The following is an 18,510-nucleotide window of genomic DNA, read 5'->3' on the forward strand; positions in this document are numbered from 1 at the left end:
GTACCACTTTTTTTTTTAAGGTAGAATCAATTAAATAAGCTATAAAACCACCTCAACTGTGGTATCAACCAATGCCAACCCTGGCAGCATAAGAAATACAATGACAGTGTTCTACCTGTCCATCCAGTTAATAACCCCCAAAGAAAAGAAGATAAGTTCTGGCTGGCATAACTTGTTCTAAATGCATCCATCTTATTGTTTCTAAAAGTAAAAAATTATGAGTCCTAACATTTGGCTAATGACTGATATAAACTCTTCTGGCCTGCAGTTTCAGCAGTATATTCCCAATCACCCCCTACTTCTTCTTCTTCTTCTTTTTTTTTTTTTTAAAAAAGATTAGGCTTAGGTTTGTTCATATCCAGTCTCTGGCATCTCTTTGTAAGCAGGGAGTTGTTTCATTCACTGCTCTGATGCTTCCTGGCAAACAGTAGGCCATATATGTATATGAATGTGAATGAATTAATGCCTTCAACAAATATTTCTGACAGTGATTTCATGACTGCTTTTATTAGTTATTTTGGCAATCACTTATAACTGCTAACGTCTGCTTGCCGATCAGCCCTTAGCTTAAATGTCACTTCCTTCAGGACGCCTTCCTGATCCCCTCCACTAGGTTAGGTGCTCCTGATCTCTGCTCCCTTTCATACAACTCTTATGACTGATAAAAACAGCACGAGGGGGCCAGGCGCGGTGGCTCACGCCTGTAATCCCAGCACTTTGGGAGGCCGAGACGGGCGGATCACGAGGTCAGCAGATGAGACCATCCTGGCTAACACGGTGAAACCCCGTCTCTACTAAAAATACAAAAAAAATTAGCCGGGTGTGGTGGCGGGCGCCTGTAGTCCCAGCTACTCCGGAGGCTGAGGCAGGAGAATGGCGTGAACCGGGGAGGCGGAGCTTGCAGTGAGCCGAGATCGCGCCACTGCACTCCAGCTTGGGCGACAGAGCGAGACTCCGTCTCAAAACAAAACAAACAAAACAAACAAACAAAAAAACGGCATGAGGGAAATTTCCATGTTTATTGTGTTCATCTTTGTATGCCTAATTCCAAACTTTCCAAGCTCGGCACCCAGCACACAGTAGGTTCTTAATATTTGTTGAGTGAATGAATAAATGAAGTAAATTGGAAATGTAATTTGTCTTTGTCTAAAGGCAAGAACTCATTCAATATAACCTAGTCACTTGTCTTGACCTTCACCTCTTTTTTTCTTTAACAACCTTATTGAGGGAAAATTTACATACCATAAGATTCACCCATTAAGCTCCTCTTACTAATTTTTTTCTCTCTCATTTTTGTGTGTGAAGGTCATTTTCTAATGGCAAAAATGGAAAGAAAATAGAAGTAGAATGTTGTGGAATCTTAGATAAAGAATGGGCTCTTGGAGCCCAGTTTAGCAGGGTTTACTTCTCAGTTTTACTTTTCAATTGTGACCGTAAGCAAATTAACTTCTCTAGGCCTGGGATTCTGATCTGTAAAATTGCACTAATATGAGTCTCTTCACGGCTCCTCTAAGGATTAAATGAGAGACACATGCAAAGGATCCCCAAAAACAATAACTCAAAAAATGTTGATTCCCTCCCTTCCCTCTGTCATCTGTTAACCTCAACTTCCTAAATAGAAGGTCTATTCTTTTACCATCATCATTATTCTCTTCGGTGCCTATTTTTAAAAAATACTCAACCTTCTTGCTTCCTTCGCTACCTAAGTATTTCTGCAAGCCCACTTTGTTCTGCAGCTTAGCTTTCCTGGCACAATTCTTATAGATTTTGGTCCCTTTTAAAATTCATTCTTCAGCAAATGCTTTCTCTCTCCATCTTTTGACTAGAGATCATTAGAGATCACCTGAGATCATTAGAGAACAGTGGTTTCCTTGGTTGCCATTCCCTTTCTTCTTCATTGGGAGTATTCTGCGGTGAACTCAGACATTTTATTTTTCAAAGCTTCCCATTCTTTTAAAAATGCTTTTCCTTTTACAGCCTCTCGCTCAAAATCATACCCATCTTTTCCCTGGATCTGTTTTCTCAAGTCTCCAATCGCCTGCCTTCTTTGTGTCTTGTATTACCCTCACATCCCCCAGCTTTCTACTGCTCTCCCAGGACCAACCATTTCTTCCGCGGGAGTCACATTACATCAGCATTCCTAATGCAGTATCTGTTATCTACCAGATTCTGTTTTATTCTAGGTAGTCACTTAAAAACGAACCTCGGTACTGGTCTGACTTAACATGGAGGAGGAATTGTCTAAGGTTAAACGCAAACTGCTGAGAGATTTGGGGCGGGGGGCACACATTTACATTCATTCGTATTAAATATATACCTGTTGAATTTGTGCTTTTTCTCAAATGCTTCAGAGACTCGAGCTTTAGAGTAATTGGGATGGTGAAAGGATGGGTTTCCAGAAACTTCGCCCAAAATTAAAGACTCCATCAAAAGGACTGCTCCATACACTCAAGGAACACCCACCAACAAATCCCGTCTCCACAACCACCAGATTATCTCACCGGCGAGTGAGACTGCAAGGTTTGGGGGCCCGGCCGTACCACTCCGCGCTGCGCACGGGGGGTTCGTACCCATCTGGCCGCGACCGTCCGTTTCCCCCTCGCTTGGTTCTGCCCCTGCTCCCCCTGCACAGGCCTCACAGTGCGTCTGGCCGGCGCTTTATAGCTGCAGCCTGGGCGGCTCCGCTAGCTGTTTTTCGTCTTCCCTAGGCTATTTCTGCCGGGCGCTCCGCGAAGATGCAGCTCAAGCCGATGGAGATCAACCCCGAGGTGAGCGCCAGGTGCACCGCTACCCGGAGAGCGCGAGGCCGAGGGAGGGGGAGCCGAGTCGCTGATCGGTTCGGTTTTGCCTTTTTCTTTGCATTTGCCTTTCAGATGCTGAACAAAGTGAGTGGCGTCTCGCGCCGTCTCTGGCCCCCTCCCCCGCGAGCGCCGAGGCGGGGGCGCCCACCGGTTCCGGCTGCTGGCAGGGACCAAGCCGCCCGCTGCGAGCACCGGAGACGGCCGGGCTGGGGCGTGGGCTGGGCGCCTTTCCTGGGCCCCTGCATTTAGCGGGTGACTCTACGAAACCGGTCACGGGGAGACGGAGGGGGCTGCGCCCCGTGGCGAGCGAGCGCCAGGCGGAGCTCCCGAGGGCGTGGCGCGGGCAGCACAGACTCGGCTGCACGGGCTTCGCGGGCGCCACGTGTGGGCCGCGCTTTGTGCTGTGTCATTGCGCCGGCCCGGGTGGGGGTGGCAGGGCGGGACTGGGGCTCCTCCCAGGCTCGGGTGCGGGCGCGGAGGGCGCGCGCCTCCTGGCCCCGCCCCCTGGCAGGTGCCCGCGACCCGCGTGTCCCCGTGCGCCTGGCCGCCTTGTCTCCTCTCCGCAGGTGCTGTCCCGGCTGGGGGTCGCCGGCCAGTGGCGCTTCGTGGACGTGCTGGGGCTGGAAGAGGAGTCTCTGGGCTCGGTGCCAGCGCCTGCCTGCGCGCTGCTGCTGCTGTTTCCCCTCACGGCCCAGGTAGGGCGTGGGGCCCAGGATGCGCCGGCCGCCGGCAGTGCACGCCGCTCCCCAGCTTGAGTCCTCGGGGGCTCCCCGCCCCGCCCCCTCCCCTGTAGGTGATGCGGGGCGCGCCTACAAGGAAGGGAGGAGCCTGCATTTTCGTGGTACCTACTCCCTGGGCTCCTGTTCCAGCGGTGCCTGTCGCCTTCTTGCCCATCCGTCCACAATTGCCTTAAATTTGGAAGAGAGGCAGTATCTCAGTTCCATCTATCCCGTTATCCAGGGAAATCATTCATCCTACTCATGAGTTCCCTCGAACTTGGGCTTTTTCGAGCCTCCGGTTCCGGGGAATGGCTGCTGGTTTCCCTTTAAGGGCTATAACCTGTCAACTCATTGTTTGCTTCTCAGACTCCCACCTAGCTGTAGAATGGAGGGGGAAGGGCTGACCTAAATCGCAGGGAAACAATTAGGTTCGCTAATTCTCCGCCTCCATTACTTGGGTTTCTGATGGTCTTAAGGGGTTCTTCTCTCTTCTCCACTCCCACCACTTGCACACTTGGTTTTTAGCCTCTTGAATGTATTTCTTAAAGCTTAATCATTTTGTGTATGGTTTCTGTGTGGGAACCTCCTTCCTCTTCACTTATCCTTGTTCATCTCTGACCTTGTAGCTAACTGAAATAGGGGGTTATTAGCTCAGTTTTGAAAGCACCTTTGCATTTCCCTTGAAATGATTTTCCTCCTACAAGTGTGCATGGATAGATGTATCTGAAAGACAGCGTCAGATTTTTTTTTTTAAAGGATAGCTAGGATATTTGCAGTCTTGTGATGTATGGAATCCCAGTCATTAGCGCATGGCATTGTCTTATCTCCTATTGCTGTCACTTGACCGCTGATGTGGGAGTGACTGAAATTAGCTTTAGCAAAACTTGGGGCATCACTCTAAAGAGTGAGGTTAACTGAAGCACCGTCCTAAGGCTAGGTGTTCTGGAAGCATCTGTAGCCAAAATCAAGAGTATGGGAAGTTCCAAGCCTTCCTCCTAGTAAGTAAGCTAAGTATTGTGGGTAAAAACACTTATTTACAGCTAATAAGATGATCTCACTGACATGTTTTTATTGCTAAAGTCTTTTACTTGGGCTAAAAGGAAGATGCCAAATTGTTGGAAGTCGAATTAGCTTCCTGGTTGACCAAATCAGTCTCCTGTCTCCAGTTGAGCATCACACAGAGGTTTTTTATTAGAGCAACCATGATGACTCGGAGGTTTTGAGCAGCATTCAGAGGCAAGGCCTCTGGGAGGCAGTGGTGCAGCATGTTTGCCTTTAAAAGCTGACTGTTCTCCTTTTGCTGAATCTTGTTTAGAGAACATTCTAGTTTGTGTTATGTTTGAAAGAGCTCGATACTTTGTCCTTTAGTTTCAATTCAACCTATCAGATTTATCGAGCGCCTATTCTGCTACACAGAATGCCTACTGGACAAAACACTGAAGCCGATTGAAAGAAAAGTTGAGGTTTTATAGGTTGACTCCAAAGATGCTAATGTTAATTTGGAAGGCATTTAATTTTTGACTAAGGGAATGTTATGACCCCCTACATGGACCACTTCTGAAACATTAAGTGCTAGTAGACTATTTACAGAATGATTTCCATGGAAGAGCTCAAGCAGCCCTAAAGGATGGTGCTATCCCATTTTAACATTTCATCTAATTAGCCTAGAAAATGAAAAACACTTACTGGTCAATGAATACTAAGTTGAGGATCCAGTTAGATAGAAGCGAAAAAGTTCTGCTAGTTGGAGTTTAAGTTGATCTTCTGGGGTAAGAGATCTTACTCTTCTATTAGTACCAGAGAGCAAGCTTAAACTTCAGTTCATGTACAGAAATGCAAAGCTACTAGAATTGGAAATAGGTTTCTGATGGTCTGTCTGGTTTTGCTCGTTATGGGAAATCAGTGTTTCTATAGTGTTAGTACCCTACTCTTTAACTGGGAAGTCCTAACTTATTTATTATATTTTTATTTTTTAGAGACAAGGTCTCAAACTTCTGAGCTCAAGTGATCCTCCTGCCTCAGCCTCCCTAGTAGCTGGGATTATAGGTGCAAGCCACTGACCCTGGCTCAAGAAATCATAACTTCTAAGGTCTTTAAAGCTAGTTAGTGAAAAGTCCAGATAGGCTTACTAAATTACTATACAGAAAGCTAGCAGATGCTTTGAGGAAATCCGTTTCCTAGTCCGATTCATTTACCAGTCTCTATCCTCCTCCTCAAATTGCCAGTCTGTCCTCAAAGTAAACTGTTTAGCTGGCAAGGACAAGCTAGTGTCACATCTTCCTCTTGTAAAATCACAGCCCAATACCCTGGATCAGTTGTCTTTTCCTTAAAAAGAGGGCGGAGGTAATGGTTAATTTCTTTCACTTGTTCTTTTCAGCAGTTAAGGCCGTTTTTGTTTTTGAAGCGAAGTGTACTTAAGCCGAGTAGAAGTAGAACTTTAAAGAATAATGAAATGTAAACCAGCTGGTGCTCTTGTTGGGCATTCAATTGACTGAAGCTTGATTTAGGATGCCTATGTGAAATAGTTGTTAAGTGTTAAAGGGAGAAAATAATGAATTGGTTTCTTTGTTTTCTGACTTCGTGACACCATTTTGGGCTGAAAGGTTGCAGTGGTGTCTAGACACAGCCTTGGGCAGTATCCAAGGCAGTCACTGCACTGCAGCACCAGGGTGGAGTCTCCGAACCTCTCAGAGCCCCACTGGCTGGCGTGGGTGGTGTGGGAGGCAGACAGACGGGCCCTTCTCTGGGAGTCAGCCAACATCTAGAACCAGGGGTTCTGGTCACACATCCCACTGGTGTTTCCATTTAGTTGGTAGAACTCATGTGCTGCCATCTGTTCTTTGCACTTTCATTCTGAGATGTAAAAACGCTTTTTACATTCGCAGCATGAGAACTTCAGGAAAAAGCAGATTGAAGAGCTGAAGGGACAAGAAGTTAGTCCTAAAGTGTACTTCATGAAGCAGACCATTGGGAATTCCTGTGGCACAATCGGACTTATTCACGCAGTGGCCAATAATCAAGACAAACTGGGATTTGGTAGGTGTGGGTTTTGAGGCCAGCCATCCTAAGCTTGAACTTGAAACATGGAGTTCAGAAACAGCTGTTTTCCCGAGGTCAGAGATGCTGTACCTTTTGAAACCATTTTGTAATGATGGTGTCAGACACTTAATCTGACTCACAGTCCTCCTCAGAAAGGATTCCTAGCACTTCCAAATTTTGAAATGGTCCCATTTCACAAATTTTAGAGCTGAAAGTTCATATTGAGGTCTTTTGAAATATACATTGTTATTGCTATAGGTTTGTAATTAGTGTCTCTTAAGCATTTTGTTAATGCTCAGTGTGGATAAGCCTATGTCAGTGGTTAGCCAGTCAGATGTCTCTATGCTGGACTATTTTGTTTCTTTACATTTCTATTCAAGATCTTTATTTTTCTATCTGAATAACCGAATTACTAAAGTTGAATTTTCTACCCCATAATCTTGGTTTGGGAAGCATTTTTATTAGAACATGATTATAGCGTCATGTATATAATAGATGTTAACTGTACATTCTTAGATGCTGTAGATACAGCAGGTAAACAAGGCAGCCCCGGCTTTTATGGTGCTAGAAATCTCAAATATGTTTTACAAATTAAGAATTGCTGTGAAAAAGTGACAGGAGATTTGAGAGATGAGTGAGGTGGGAGGGAAAAAGGGGTCCAGGGTAGAAGGGAACAGAGGCAAGAAAGAGCTTGGCATATTGGGAGAGCGGAGAGACCTCTCTGGCCTGAAAGCAGTGAATAGAGAGGGGTTAGAAAAAGAGGCTAGGGGAAAAGGTACAGCTCATCCACAACCCTGGAGGCAGTATTAAAGATTCAGGTTGCTCAGCATGTTCAGCAAAGGCTTAAGTCAACAATAAATATGTACCCACTTGTATTATTTTACCTATACTAACACATCCATTTTTTTTTTAAGAGGATGGATCAGTTCTGAAACAGTTTCTTTCTGAAACAGAGAAAATGTCCCCTGAAGACAGAGCAAAATGCTTTGAAAAGAATGAGGTAAGAGAACTTACAGAGCATGGCCTTTAAATAACTCTAGAGATTTTTGTGCTAATTATTTTCTTTTTTCCGCAGGCCATACAGGCAGCCCATGATGCCGTGGCACAGGAAGGCCAATGTCGGGTAAATGCAAATACAAATCGGAGCCAGGCTGCCTGGGTGCCATCTGTGTTTCTACTGAAATTGTGCAGGAATCTCTTACTGGAACACAGCAAATGTTATCCACCCAAGGCCAAATGACACCAGAAAGTTCTACCCAAATAATGCTTTGACTAGACCTGTTCATAAAAAAAGTTTTCTTCAGAAATTGTATTGGTCATTGAAGTCTTGAGTAAATTCAAATTGACAGTATTTTGTTTAGATCCAAATGAGTCTTATAGGTCAGGCATAGTGGCTCATGCCTGTAATCCCAACAATTTGGGAGGCCGAGGAGGGTGAATCACTTGAGCCCAGGAGTTTGAGACCAGCTTGGCCAACATAGTGAAACCCCGTCCCTACAAAAAATACAGAGTAGCGAGGTCTGTAGTCCCAGCCACTTGGGAGGCTGAGGTGGGAGAATTGCTTGAGCCCTAGAGGCAGAGGTTGCAGTGAGCTGAGACCATGTCGCTGCACTCCGGTCTGGGTGACCCTGTCTCAATAACAGAAACAAATGAGTCTTATAGAGTGTACACCTCTCCTAGTAAGTGAGCATTTCAAATAATCTTCACAGGCTGTTGGGGAGAATGAAATGCCCAACGAAGGACAAGTTCTAGAAGGCTTGAATATACCATAATCTGATGAGAACCTCTGAGTCAGCTGCTAAATTTAAGTCAGATCTCAGTGTCCTTTTTAAAAAAAAAAAAAAGTTGACAAGGTCAGCCTCCATTTCCCAGGCTGGAATGCAGTGGTGTGATCTTGGCTCACTGCAGCAATTCTCTCATCTCAGCCTCCCGAGTAGCTGGGATTACAAGTACACACCACCACACCTACTAATTTTTATATTTTTTGTAGAGATGGGGTTTCACCATGTTGTTCAGGCTGGTCTTGAACTCTTGTGAGCTCAAGTGATCTGCCTGCCTCAGCCTCCCAAAGTGCTAGTATTGCAGGTGTGAGCCACCGTGCCTAGCCAGATCTCAGTGTCTTTATAACTACAACTGGCTGCCACTTTCTAGCATTGACCTTGGTTGAGATAGTTAGCCTCTCTAAGCCTCAATTTTCTCCTCAGTAAAAATCCTGTAGTAATAGCATCCTCATAGAGTTGTTCTGACAGTTAACAGTATATTTACCTTAGTGGGCTTAGAATAGGGCTTAATGTAAGACATACATTAAATATTAGCTATAATTTCTAAAAATCAAGTCAGTTCAAGCACATTTCACTTGAATTGCAAGATAATTTTTAAAATACAGCTTACACTCATTTTCAAAAATTTCTTGACTTTCTTTAGGTAGATGACAAGGTGAATTTCCATTTTATTCTGTTTAACAACGTGGATGGCCACCTCTATGAACTTGGTATGTTTTACTCCATTTTTGGAACCCAGTGTAGTTTCATGTGTTCTTTCAGACTGAATTTCTCTTGATATATTGTGTGACTTTATGGCACTTGGCATATCATTGTTTATAAAGCCACAATAACAAAGTATTCTCATGAGGGCACTTAACCCCTTATCATCCCCAGAGCAACTTCCTCAGGCAACTGACTAGCATCCCCTAGTATCATCCTTTCTGGGCAAAGAGTACGTCTGAAAAAGGATCAGTGCCTGAATATGACCTTACTTGTCTAAAAAGAATCTGAACATGTTGGAATAACTTCTATTAACTAGTTTATGGCATCAAGAAAGACGACCCACCTTGTAAGATTCATTCCTTTTGTATTAATGGAGAAAGACTTGTAACTCTTGTCTCAAGCCAAGATACGACCTACAGGCTTACAAAGGCAAAGGAATAGTGAAGGCAATCTACAGTCATTGGAGGGCAGATAAAATCTCAGGCGTCTCCTCCTCTCGCCTCCATCTTCCCTATCCCCAGAGACTGCATCTGACTTTTGTTCTGTGGCCCTTTCCAAGGGTTGGGGCACAGGCCCCTCTATTAGGGTAGCTGACTTGAGCTTGTGCGATCTTGTCAATTGTAGACTAGAATTGCCTGGGATGGATGCCTAGGGACACTTGAACCTCATTTGCAGCCTCTTGCTTCATAACCAGGCTTCCTTCTGTGGGTTTGGCAGTGGTTTTTGGAAGAATCTAAAACTTCCATCTAGGCTAGGTAAGCACGGTAGCCAGAAAACATGCAGAGAAAATTGACATGCCTGGCTTCTTTGTTACAGATGGACGAATGCCTTTTCCGGTGAACCATGGCGCCAGTTCAGAGGACACCCTGCTGAAGGTCATCTTTGGAATGCATCTCTTCTTAATGTGCCTCACAATTCTTTGGCTAAATTTTCTATTCTAAAGTGCTAACACTCTTCCAGTATAGCCAGCATCAGTTGCCTGGGTTAATAGCAGTCTTTAGGGCTGCAAGATCCTCTTAGTAACTCTATCTACCTTATTTTATTGCAAGTGGTTTTAAACAGGGCTTCAGAGACACCCTGAGTAATCTGTTTCATGTGTTGTCTTTAGTCCACAGTTAGAATTAGCCTGAAAGCTGTTGCTTTGCTTCCTGGTGGGATTAAGGTGACCATTGTCCTCCCATCAGATTACATCATAGCTAAAGACTCACAAAACAGCAGCCTTTCATAATCCCTCTAAGACAACGGGATTTGGGTCAGTCTTGGAGGTAGTGTACTATAGATTCTAGTTAGGTGGTTAAATTTAGGAGTTTTTCCTTCCCACATGGTCTACTGTTACAAGAACAAAATAAGCAGATTTAAAATCCACCTGACAAAAACTGTTAATATCCAGGATCACTTTGTAACCATCCTGGACAGAAAAGTGATTCTGGGCAAAGGTTGGTAGACGACCCTAGGCCTCTTCACTAAAAAATGAGCCTCTAGAGTTGAATCAATTTGCTATTATAAAGGAAAATTGCTTAATTATGATACACAAAATACTGTTTTTAGCTTGCTGTGCTGAAGAAAAATATACAAACTGCTATTAAGATATAACTATACTTAATTTGAGTAGTAATAGTATAAAATCTTTGCAGAACTTACTGTGTGCAGACCAGGACTCAGCAAGCATTTTCTATAAAGAGCCAAACAAAATATTTTAGGCTTTGTATGGCATATGGCTCTGTTGCAAGTATTCAGTTCTGCTGTTACAACTCAGCAGCCCATAGACACTCTCTAAATGAATGTATGTAGCTGTTTTCCACCAGCACAGGCTGGGTTGGGCCCACATGCTGCAGTTTACTGACCCCTCTTCTTAGGTGCTGTTCTAGGTGATCTACGTCTTTTATAGAAATCCTTTAATGACACAGTGAGGTAGGTATTATCCCCATCTCAGAGCTGACAAAACTCAAGAGTTTAAGGCCTGAGGTCAAGGACTTACATGGCAAACTGTGATTCAAACCTAGATAGTCTGGCAAGGTGCAGTGGCTCATGCCTATAATCCCAGCACTTGGGAGGCTGACGCGGGAGGATTGCTTGAGCTCAGGAGTTCAAGACCAGCCTGGGCAAAATGGTGAAACCCCATCTCTACTAAAAATATAAAAATTAGCCAGACCTGGTGGTGCATTCCTGTAGTCCCAGCTGCTTGGGAGGCTGAGGCACAAGAATCACTTGTTACCTGGGAGGTGGAGGTTGCAGTGAGCCGAGATTGCACCACTGTACTCCAGTCTGGGCAACAGAGCAAGACTCTGTCTCAGAAGAAAAAAAAGAAAAGTTAGTCCGCATCTAGAGTCTGTGTTCTTAGCCATTGTACAATACCAATATGACCTTTCTTTAGAAAAGACCTCTCTTTGGAACTTCACAGACCTGATAGCCCTAAGATGCTAGTGGACCACATTATGCCACTCTTAATAGGGAAGGTTGATTTCTCTCATCTGTCAGACACACCTGAGATCAGTTAAAGCTAATTCTTGGTATTCAAGAGGTATGTGGGAATAGTAATATGGAATGAAGAATAGACCTGGAGAGCCAGGATGGGATGGAAGGGTTTCATGAGAGTCAGAATTTACTTGGTGAGAATAAGAAAACAGGCAGAATTTCTGGTCTTTGATCCATTTGGAGGAAAGAGACCCTGGTCCTTCCTAGTAAAGCTTTTAAGGTACATGCTAACTCATCTAACACTGCACTAATACCATAAAAATGTGTCCCACATAGGATACAAGTGTCACATGAGTAGAATTTATAAGGTGTGGGGAAGGTAAAATTTTTGTATAGAGATGGGGCGGGGAGGGACTCACTATGTTGCCCAGGCTGGTCTTTAACTCTTGGGCTCAAGTGATCTTCCTGCCTCAGCTTCCCAGAGTGCTGGGATTATAGGCGTGAGCCACAGTACCTGGCTAAAACTTTTTTTTTTTTTTTTTTTTTAACTTTTCTAATTAGAACCTTATTTAAAATTAAAAGAGTTTCTAAATTAAACCAGCATTTTAGTTAAAATTCTTACCCTAAGTAAGGCTGGTTCTATATGGTTAAGGATGTTTTAGGTTGTCTAAATGTCACACTAAATTATTAAACTGGTTAGAATATACATGCACTTAACCCAAATATCTTAAGCTTGAATGAATTAGGTCCCTGCACGTTAGCTCTATAGAAGATGGTTATTCTCTTTAAAGGTACATCTTTAATAGTGAAATCAATATTGTATGTCCTATAGTAAGGTCAATTCAGGGAAGACAGGTCTGGAATACTGATATATTAAAAAACTTGGTAGAGGATAAAATGTTGATGTCAATCCAGATACTCTTTGGTTGCTTTTTTTGAGAAAGGGTCTCGCTGTGTCATTCAGGCTGGAGTGCAGTGGTGCAATCATGGCTTACTGTAGCCTTGAAGTCCTTGCTCAAGCAATCCTCCCACCTAAGTCTTCTGAGTAGCCAGGACTAGAAGCGCACACCACCATGCCCAGCTAATTTTTAAATTTTTAGTAGAGATTTTGCCCAGGCTGGTCTTGAACTCCTGAGCTCAAGTCATCCGCTGCCTCAGCTTCCCAAAGTGCTGAGATTGCAGGCCTGAGCTGTGTCTGGCCCAAACTCATTGAGTTGGTGATTTCTAAATTTTAGGAGTGATGTTTCATTACCATTCTGTATCATAGAGCATTCCTTTTCTCCTTCAGGGTCTTATACTATGGTTTACAGAGCTATCTTTCCACTGGGCTTTTTTACAGATTGAACAGAGTAATATTTTTGATCCCAAAACAATTATATCCTAGAAGTTGGTAAATAACACTGGGATCAGTTTCCTGTTACCAGTCTTTGTCATCTAGATCTTAGAAGTAGTAACGCATGTCACTTCACCATCAATCTCTAAGGTTCCATGCTTGTCTGTACCTAGAATATCAGGTAAACGTTAAGGCTGTTTTTTTTTTTGTTTGTTTGTTTGTTTTCTGAGACGGAGTCTCGCTCTGTCGCCCAGGCTGGAGTGTAGTGGCGCGATCTCGCCTCACTGCAAGCTCCGCCTCCTGGGTTCACGCCATTCTCCTGCCTTAGCCTCTCAGAGTAGCTGTGACTGCAGATGCCCGCCATCATGCCCGGCTAATTTTTTTTGTATTTTTAGTAGAGACGTGGTTTCACCATGTTGGCCAGGATGGTCTCTATCTCCCAGCCTCGTGATCCGCCTGCCTCAGCCTCCCAAAGTGCTGGGATTACAGGCGTGAGCCACTGCGCCCGGCCACGTTAAGGCTGTTTTTTAAAATGTTTATTTGAAAGACAATTTTCTTTATTCCAGGAATTTCTGAGTTACAACTTTTCACTTATGCCACCTTATGGAAGAAAGATCAATTTCCAATCTTTAGATTTGAGGAAAATAACGTTCATAGTTGTGTTTTTGTTGTTGGGTTTTTTTGTTTTTGTTTTTTTTAACTTTTCCAAAACCAGGTACAAAGTGAGAGAAGCACAAAACCATTTGGTGGAAGTGATAAGTCAAATCCATGATGTAACCTTGTCTTTCCCATCACCTGATTTTTTGCTTTAAGCCCTGGTTTTCAAATTAATGATGGAATTAAAGTTGATGAGGGTGAACTTTGAGCATTAATAGACCTTGGAGCCTTTCCCTATGTGACTTTCATTTTGAGCTCTTGCTGTTTGGATTTTAATGACATTTCTCCTTTCCAGGACGCTGCCAAGGTCTGCAGAGAATTCACCGAGCGTGAGCAAGGAGAAGTCCGCTTCTCTGCCGTGGCTCTCTGCAAGGCAGCCTAATGCTCTGTGGGAGGGACTTTGCTGATTTCCCCTCTTCCCTTCAACATGAAAATATATACCCCCCCATGCAGTCTAAAATGCTTCAGTACTTGTGAAACACAGCTGTTCTTCTGTTCTGCAGACACGCCTTCCCCTCAGCCACACCCAGGCACTTAAGCACAAGCAGAGTGCACAGCTGTCCACTGGGCCATTGTGGTGTGAGCTTCAGATGGTGAAGCATTCTCCCCAGTGTATGTCTTGTATCCGATATCTAACGCTTTAAATGGCTACTTTGGTTTCTGTCTGTAAGTTAAGACCTTGGATGTGGTTTAATTGTTTGTCCTCAAAAGGAATAAAACTTTTCTGCTGATAAGATAGCCACAGCTGATTCTCATTTTCTTTTACCCTCTCCTCAATATGTCAGGTTATTTTGGTAGTAATATATGAATGTCTTCCACATAAGTAACTCATACAGTGCTGCCAAGAATTACCATAAAAGCATTGGTTTGATGTGTCTTTGGATTTTTTTTTGCATTTGTATTCCCTATGTATACCTGTAGAAACTAATTTTTAAAGATTTTTAAATAGGCAAATTTTGTAGCACAATTTTAGACTTATAAAAATATTGAAGACAAAAAGAAAATACTGGACATTGTAGAAGTCCCATAAACCCACCACCCAGTTTCCTCTATTGTATTAAGCGGGGTTTTCTAGAGGACAGAACTAATAGGATATATGTATGTATAAAGGGGAGTTTATTAAGGAGTGTTGACCCACACGATCACAAGGTAAAGTCCCATGGTAGGCCCTCTGCAAGCTGAGGAGCAAGGAAGCCAGTCCGAGTCTCAAAACCTCAAAAGTAGGAAAACCAATAGTGCAGCCTTCACTCTATAGTCAAAGGTCCAAGAGTCCCAAAGCTGAAAAACTTGGGAGTCTGATATTCCAGGGGAGGACACATCCAGCACAGGAGAAAGGTGGAGGTGGGAGACTGGGCCAGTCTAGTCTTCCCATGTTCTTTTGCCTGCTTTCATTTTGGCTGCACTGGCCGCTGATTAGATTGTGCCCACGCAGATTGAGGGTGGGTCTGCCTTTCCCAGTCCACTGACTCAAGTGTTAATCTCCTTTAGCAACACCCTCACAGACACCCAGGAAAAGTACAATACCTTCAATCCAAGTTGATGCTCAATATTAACCATCACAGTTATTGACATATCGATACACTGCTATTAAGTCCATAGCTTGTTTAGATTTCCTGGCTGTTTTCCCTAATGTCCTTTGTTTTAGGATCCCATCCGGGATCCCACATGACTGTTAGTTGCCATGTCTCACCAGGCTCCTTTGGGCTTTGTCAGTTTCTCAGACTTCTCTTCTCCTTGGATGACCTTGACAAATTGGAGGAGTACCATCAAGTATTTTGTAAGGTGCCCTCTATTGGGATTTGTCTAATGTTAGACTAGGGTTATGGGTTTTGGGGAGGAAGACCACAGAGGCAAAGCGTTGTTTTCATCATATGCTACAAAGGGTACATAAGCATAATTTATCACTGATTCTCACCTCTTACCTGGCTGAGGTCGTGTTTGAAAGACTTCACCATAAACTCACCCCCACTGCCTTTTCCATGCTGTACTCCTAGGAAGTCACCATGCAAAGCCCACACTTAAGGAGTGGAGGTGTATGTTCTATCTCCTTGAGGGCCAAGTATCTATATGAATTATTTGGAATTCTTTTGGGAGAGTTGTCTTTTTTCTCCTATGTAACCATTTTTATCAGTATGAACTCATATCATATACTGTGGATTTATGTTATAATCCAGTACTACCTGTTGCCCACATTGTTCTGCTTTAGTTGTTGGGAGCTCTTTCAGTTGGCTCCTATGTTGCTTTGACATACCCCAATCAGTGTAGCATGTTTTGTTTTTCTTAGCAATTCCTTACTGTCTAGAAATTAGTTTTTTTTTTTAAAAAAGCAAAAGTCTTTGGCATTTGTTGTTAAGCTTTACTTTATAGATCAATGTGCCCTTGTTTTATAGATAAGGATACACTATTATGTAATGTATAGGTTTTCATTAAATATTAAAGGAGGACGTCTGTTCTCAACAATGGACGTTGAATGTAACAGTTCACTTCCAGTTACACAAAATGAGGGAAGCAGGGAAGAAACCCAATGCTTCCTGCCTATACTGTGATCCTCACAAAAGGGCTCTGTCCTGTCTGGTGCCAGGAATCCAGATAACTTGGGTCTCAACTGCCTTATTCACAGTTCTCTAAGCCCTGATTATGGTGGTAATATTCCTGATTCCAACTTTTTTTTTTTGGGGGGGGGGCATAATTTACAGAAAATTTATTCATGTATTCAAATTATCTGCAATTTCTTTTTTTTAAAAATTATTATACTTTAAGTTTTAGGGTACATGTGCACAACATGCAGGTTTGTTACATATGTATACATGTGCCATGTTGGTGTGCTGCACCCATTAACTTGTCATTTAGCATTAGCTATATCTCCTAATGCTATCCCTCCCCCCTCCCCCAACCCCACAACAGTCCCCGGTGTGTGATGTTCCCCTTCCTGTGTCCATGTGTTCTCATTGTTCAGTTCCCACCTATGAGTGAGAACATGCGGTGTTTGGTTTTTTGTCCTTGTGATAGTTTGCTGAGAATGATGGTTTCCAGCTTCATCCATGTCCCTACAAAGGACATGAACTCATCATTTTTTATGGCTGCATAGTATTCCATGGTGTATATGTGCCACATTTTCTTAATCCAGTCTATCATTGTTGGACATTTAGGTTGGTTCCAAGTCTTTGCTATTGTGAATAGTGCCACAATAAACATACGTGTGCATGTGTCTTTATAGCAGCATGATTTATAATCCTTTGGGTATATACCCAGTAATGGGATGGCTGGGTCAAATGGTATTTCTAGTTCTAGATCCCTGAGGAATGGCCACACTGACTTCCACAATGGTTGAACTAGTTTACAGTCCCACCAACAGTGTAATAGTGTTCCTACTTCTCCACATCCTCTCCAGCACCTGTTGTTTCCTGACTTTTTAATGATTGCCATTCTAACTGGTGTGAGATGGTATCTCGTTGTGGTTTTGATTTGCATTTCTCTGATGGCCAGTGATGATGAGCATTTTTTCATGTGTTTTTTGGCTGCATAAATGTCTTCTTTTGAGAAGTGTCTGTTCATATCCTTCACCCACTTTTTGATGGTGTTGTTTGTTTTTTTCTTGTCAATTTGTTTGAGTTCATTGTAGATTCTGGATATTAGCCCTTTGTCAGATGAGTAGGTTGTGAAAATTTTCTCCCATTCTGTAGGTTGCCTGTTCACTCTGATGGTATTTTCTTTTGCTGTGCAGAAGCTCTTTAGTTTAATTAGATCCCATTTGTCAATTTTGTCTTTTGTTGCCATTGCTTTTGGTGTTTTAGACATGAAGTCCTTGCCCATGCCTATGTCCTGAATGGTATTGCCTAGGTTTTCTTCTAGGGTTTTTATGGTTTTAAGTCTAACATGTAAGTCTTTAATCCATCTTGAATTAATTTTTGTATAAAGTGTAAGGAAGGGATCCAGTTTCAGCTCTCTACATATGGCTAGCCCGTTTTCCCAGCACCATTTATTAAATAGGGAATCCTTTCCCCATTGCTTGTTTTTGTCAGGTTTGTCAAAGATCAAATAGTTGTAGATATGCGGCATTATTTCTGAGGGCTCTGTTCTGTTCCATTGGTCTATATCTCTGTTTTGGTACCAGTACCATGCTGTTTTGGTTACTGTAGCCTTGTAGTATAGTTTGAAGTCAGGTAGCATGATGCCTCCAGCTTTGTTCTTTTGGCTTAGGATTGACTTGGTGATGCGGGCTCTTTTTTCATTCCATATGAACTTTAAAGTAGTTTTTTCCAATTCTGTGAAGAAAGTCATTGGTAGCTTGATGGGGATGGCATTGAATCTATAAATTACCTTGGGTAGTATGGCCATTTTCACGATATTGATTCTTTCTACCCATGAGCATGGAATGTTCTTCCATTTGTTTGTATCCTCTTTTATTTCATTGAGCAGTGGTTTGTAGTTCTCCTTGAAGAGGTCCTTCACATCCCTTGTAAGTTGGATTCCTAGGTATTTTATTCTCTTTGAAACAATTGTGAATGGGAGTTCACTCATGATTTGGCTCTCTGTTTGTCTGTTATTGGTGTATAAGAATGCTTGTGATTTTTGCACATTGATTTTGTATCCTGAGACTTTGCTGAAGTTGCTTATCAGCTTAAGGAGATTTTGGGCTGAGACAATGGGGTTTTCTAGATATACAATCATGTCATCTGCAAACAGGGACAATTTGACTTCCTCTTTTCCTAATTGAATACCCTTTATTTCTTTCTCTTGCCTGATTGCCCTGGCCAGAGCTTCCAACACTAAGTTGAATAGGAGTGGTAAGAGAGGGCATCCCTGTCTTGTGCCAGTTTTCAAAGGGAATGCTTCCAGTTTTTGTCCATTCAGTATGATATTGGCTGTGGGTTTGTCATAGATAGCTCTTATTATTTTGAGATACATCCCATCAATACCTAATTTATTGAGAGTTTTTAGCATGAAGCGTTGTTGAATTTTGTCAAAGGCCTTTTCTGCATCTATTGAGATGATCATGTGTTTTTTGTCTTTGGTTCTGTTTATATGCTGGATTACATTTATTGATTTTCATATGTTGA

At 42.9% G+C, this 18,510-nt stretch overlaps 1 protein-coding gene and 1 long non-coding RNA gene across 2 annotated transcripts in view, besides 3 other annotated features; one reads left to right on the forward strand and one right to left on the reverse strand.

Annotated features, from left to right (window-relative positions):
- The window catches only part of UCHL1-DT (UCHL1 divergent transcript), a 36,654-nt gene extending 34,168 nt beyond the window's left edge, over positions 1 to 2,486 (reverse strand). The window contains exon 1 of the long non-coding RNA NR_102709.1: positions 2,318 to 2,486. This is a non-coding gene — a long non-coding RNA (UCHL1 divergent transcript). The remainder of the gene's footprint in view (positions 1 to 2,317) is intronic.
- UCHL1 (ubiquitin C-terminal hydrolase L1) lies at positions 2,687 to 14,214 on the forward strand. The gene is made up of 9 exons (NM_004181.5): positions 2,687 to 2,768; positions 2,874 to 2,885; positions 3,368 to 3,496; positions 6,406 to 6,556; positions 7,474 to 7,559; positions 7,635 to 7,682; positions 8,984 to 9,050; positions 9,862 to 9,920; positions 13,746 to 14,214. The coding sequence occupies exons 1-9, from the start codon at positions 2,736 to 2,738 to the stop codon at positions 13,830 to 13,832; spliced, it is 672 nt and encodes a 223-aa protein (NP_004172.2). The 5' UTR covers positions 2,687 to 2,735; the 3' UTR covers positions 13,833 to 14,214.
- Positions 2,803 to 3,562: a silencer, noted in NCBI's record as "silent region_15388". NCBI's record gives its function as "represses an Ori minimal core promoter by ATAC-STARR-seq in GM12878 lymphoblastoid cells {active_cell/tissue: GM12878}" and the evidence as "EXISTENCE:reporter gene assay evidence [ECO:0000049][PMID:35858748]".
- Positions 2,803 to 3,897: a biological region, named in NCBI's record as "H3K4me1 hESC enhancer GRCh37_chr4:41259655-41260155".
- Positions 3,397 to 3,897: an enhancer, noted in NCBI's record as "H3K4me1 hESC enhancer chr4:41259655-41260155 (GRCh37/hg19 assembly coordinates)". NCBI's record gives its function as "activates a minimal SCP1, AML or CMV promoter by ChIP-STARR-seq in naive H9 embryonic stem cells {active_cell/tissue: H9 hESC(naive)}" and the evidence as "EXISTENCE:reporter gene assay evidence [ECO:0000049][PMID:30033119]".

Source organism: Homo sapiens, chromosome 4, assembly GCF_000001405.40.
Source record: "Homo sapiens chromosome 4, GRCh38.p14 Primary Assembly".
NCBI lineage: Eukaryota > Metazoa > Chordata > Mammalia > Primates > Hominidae > Homo > Homo sapiens.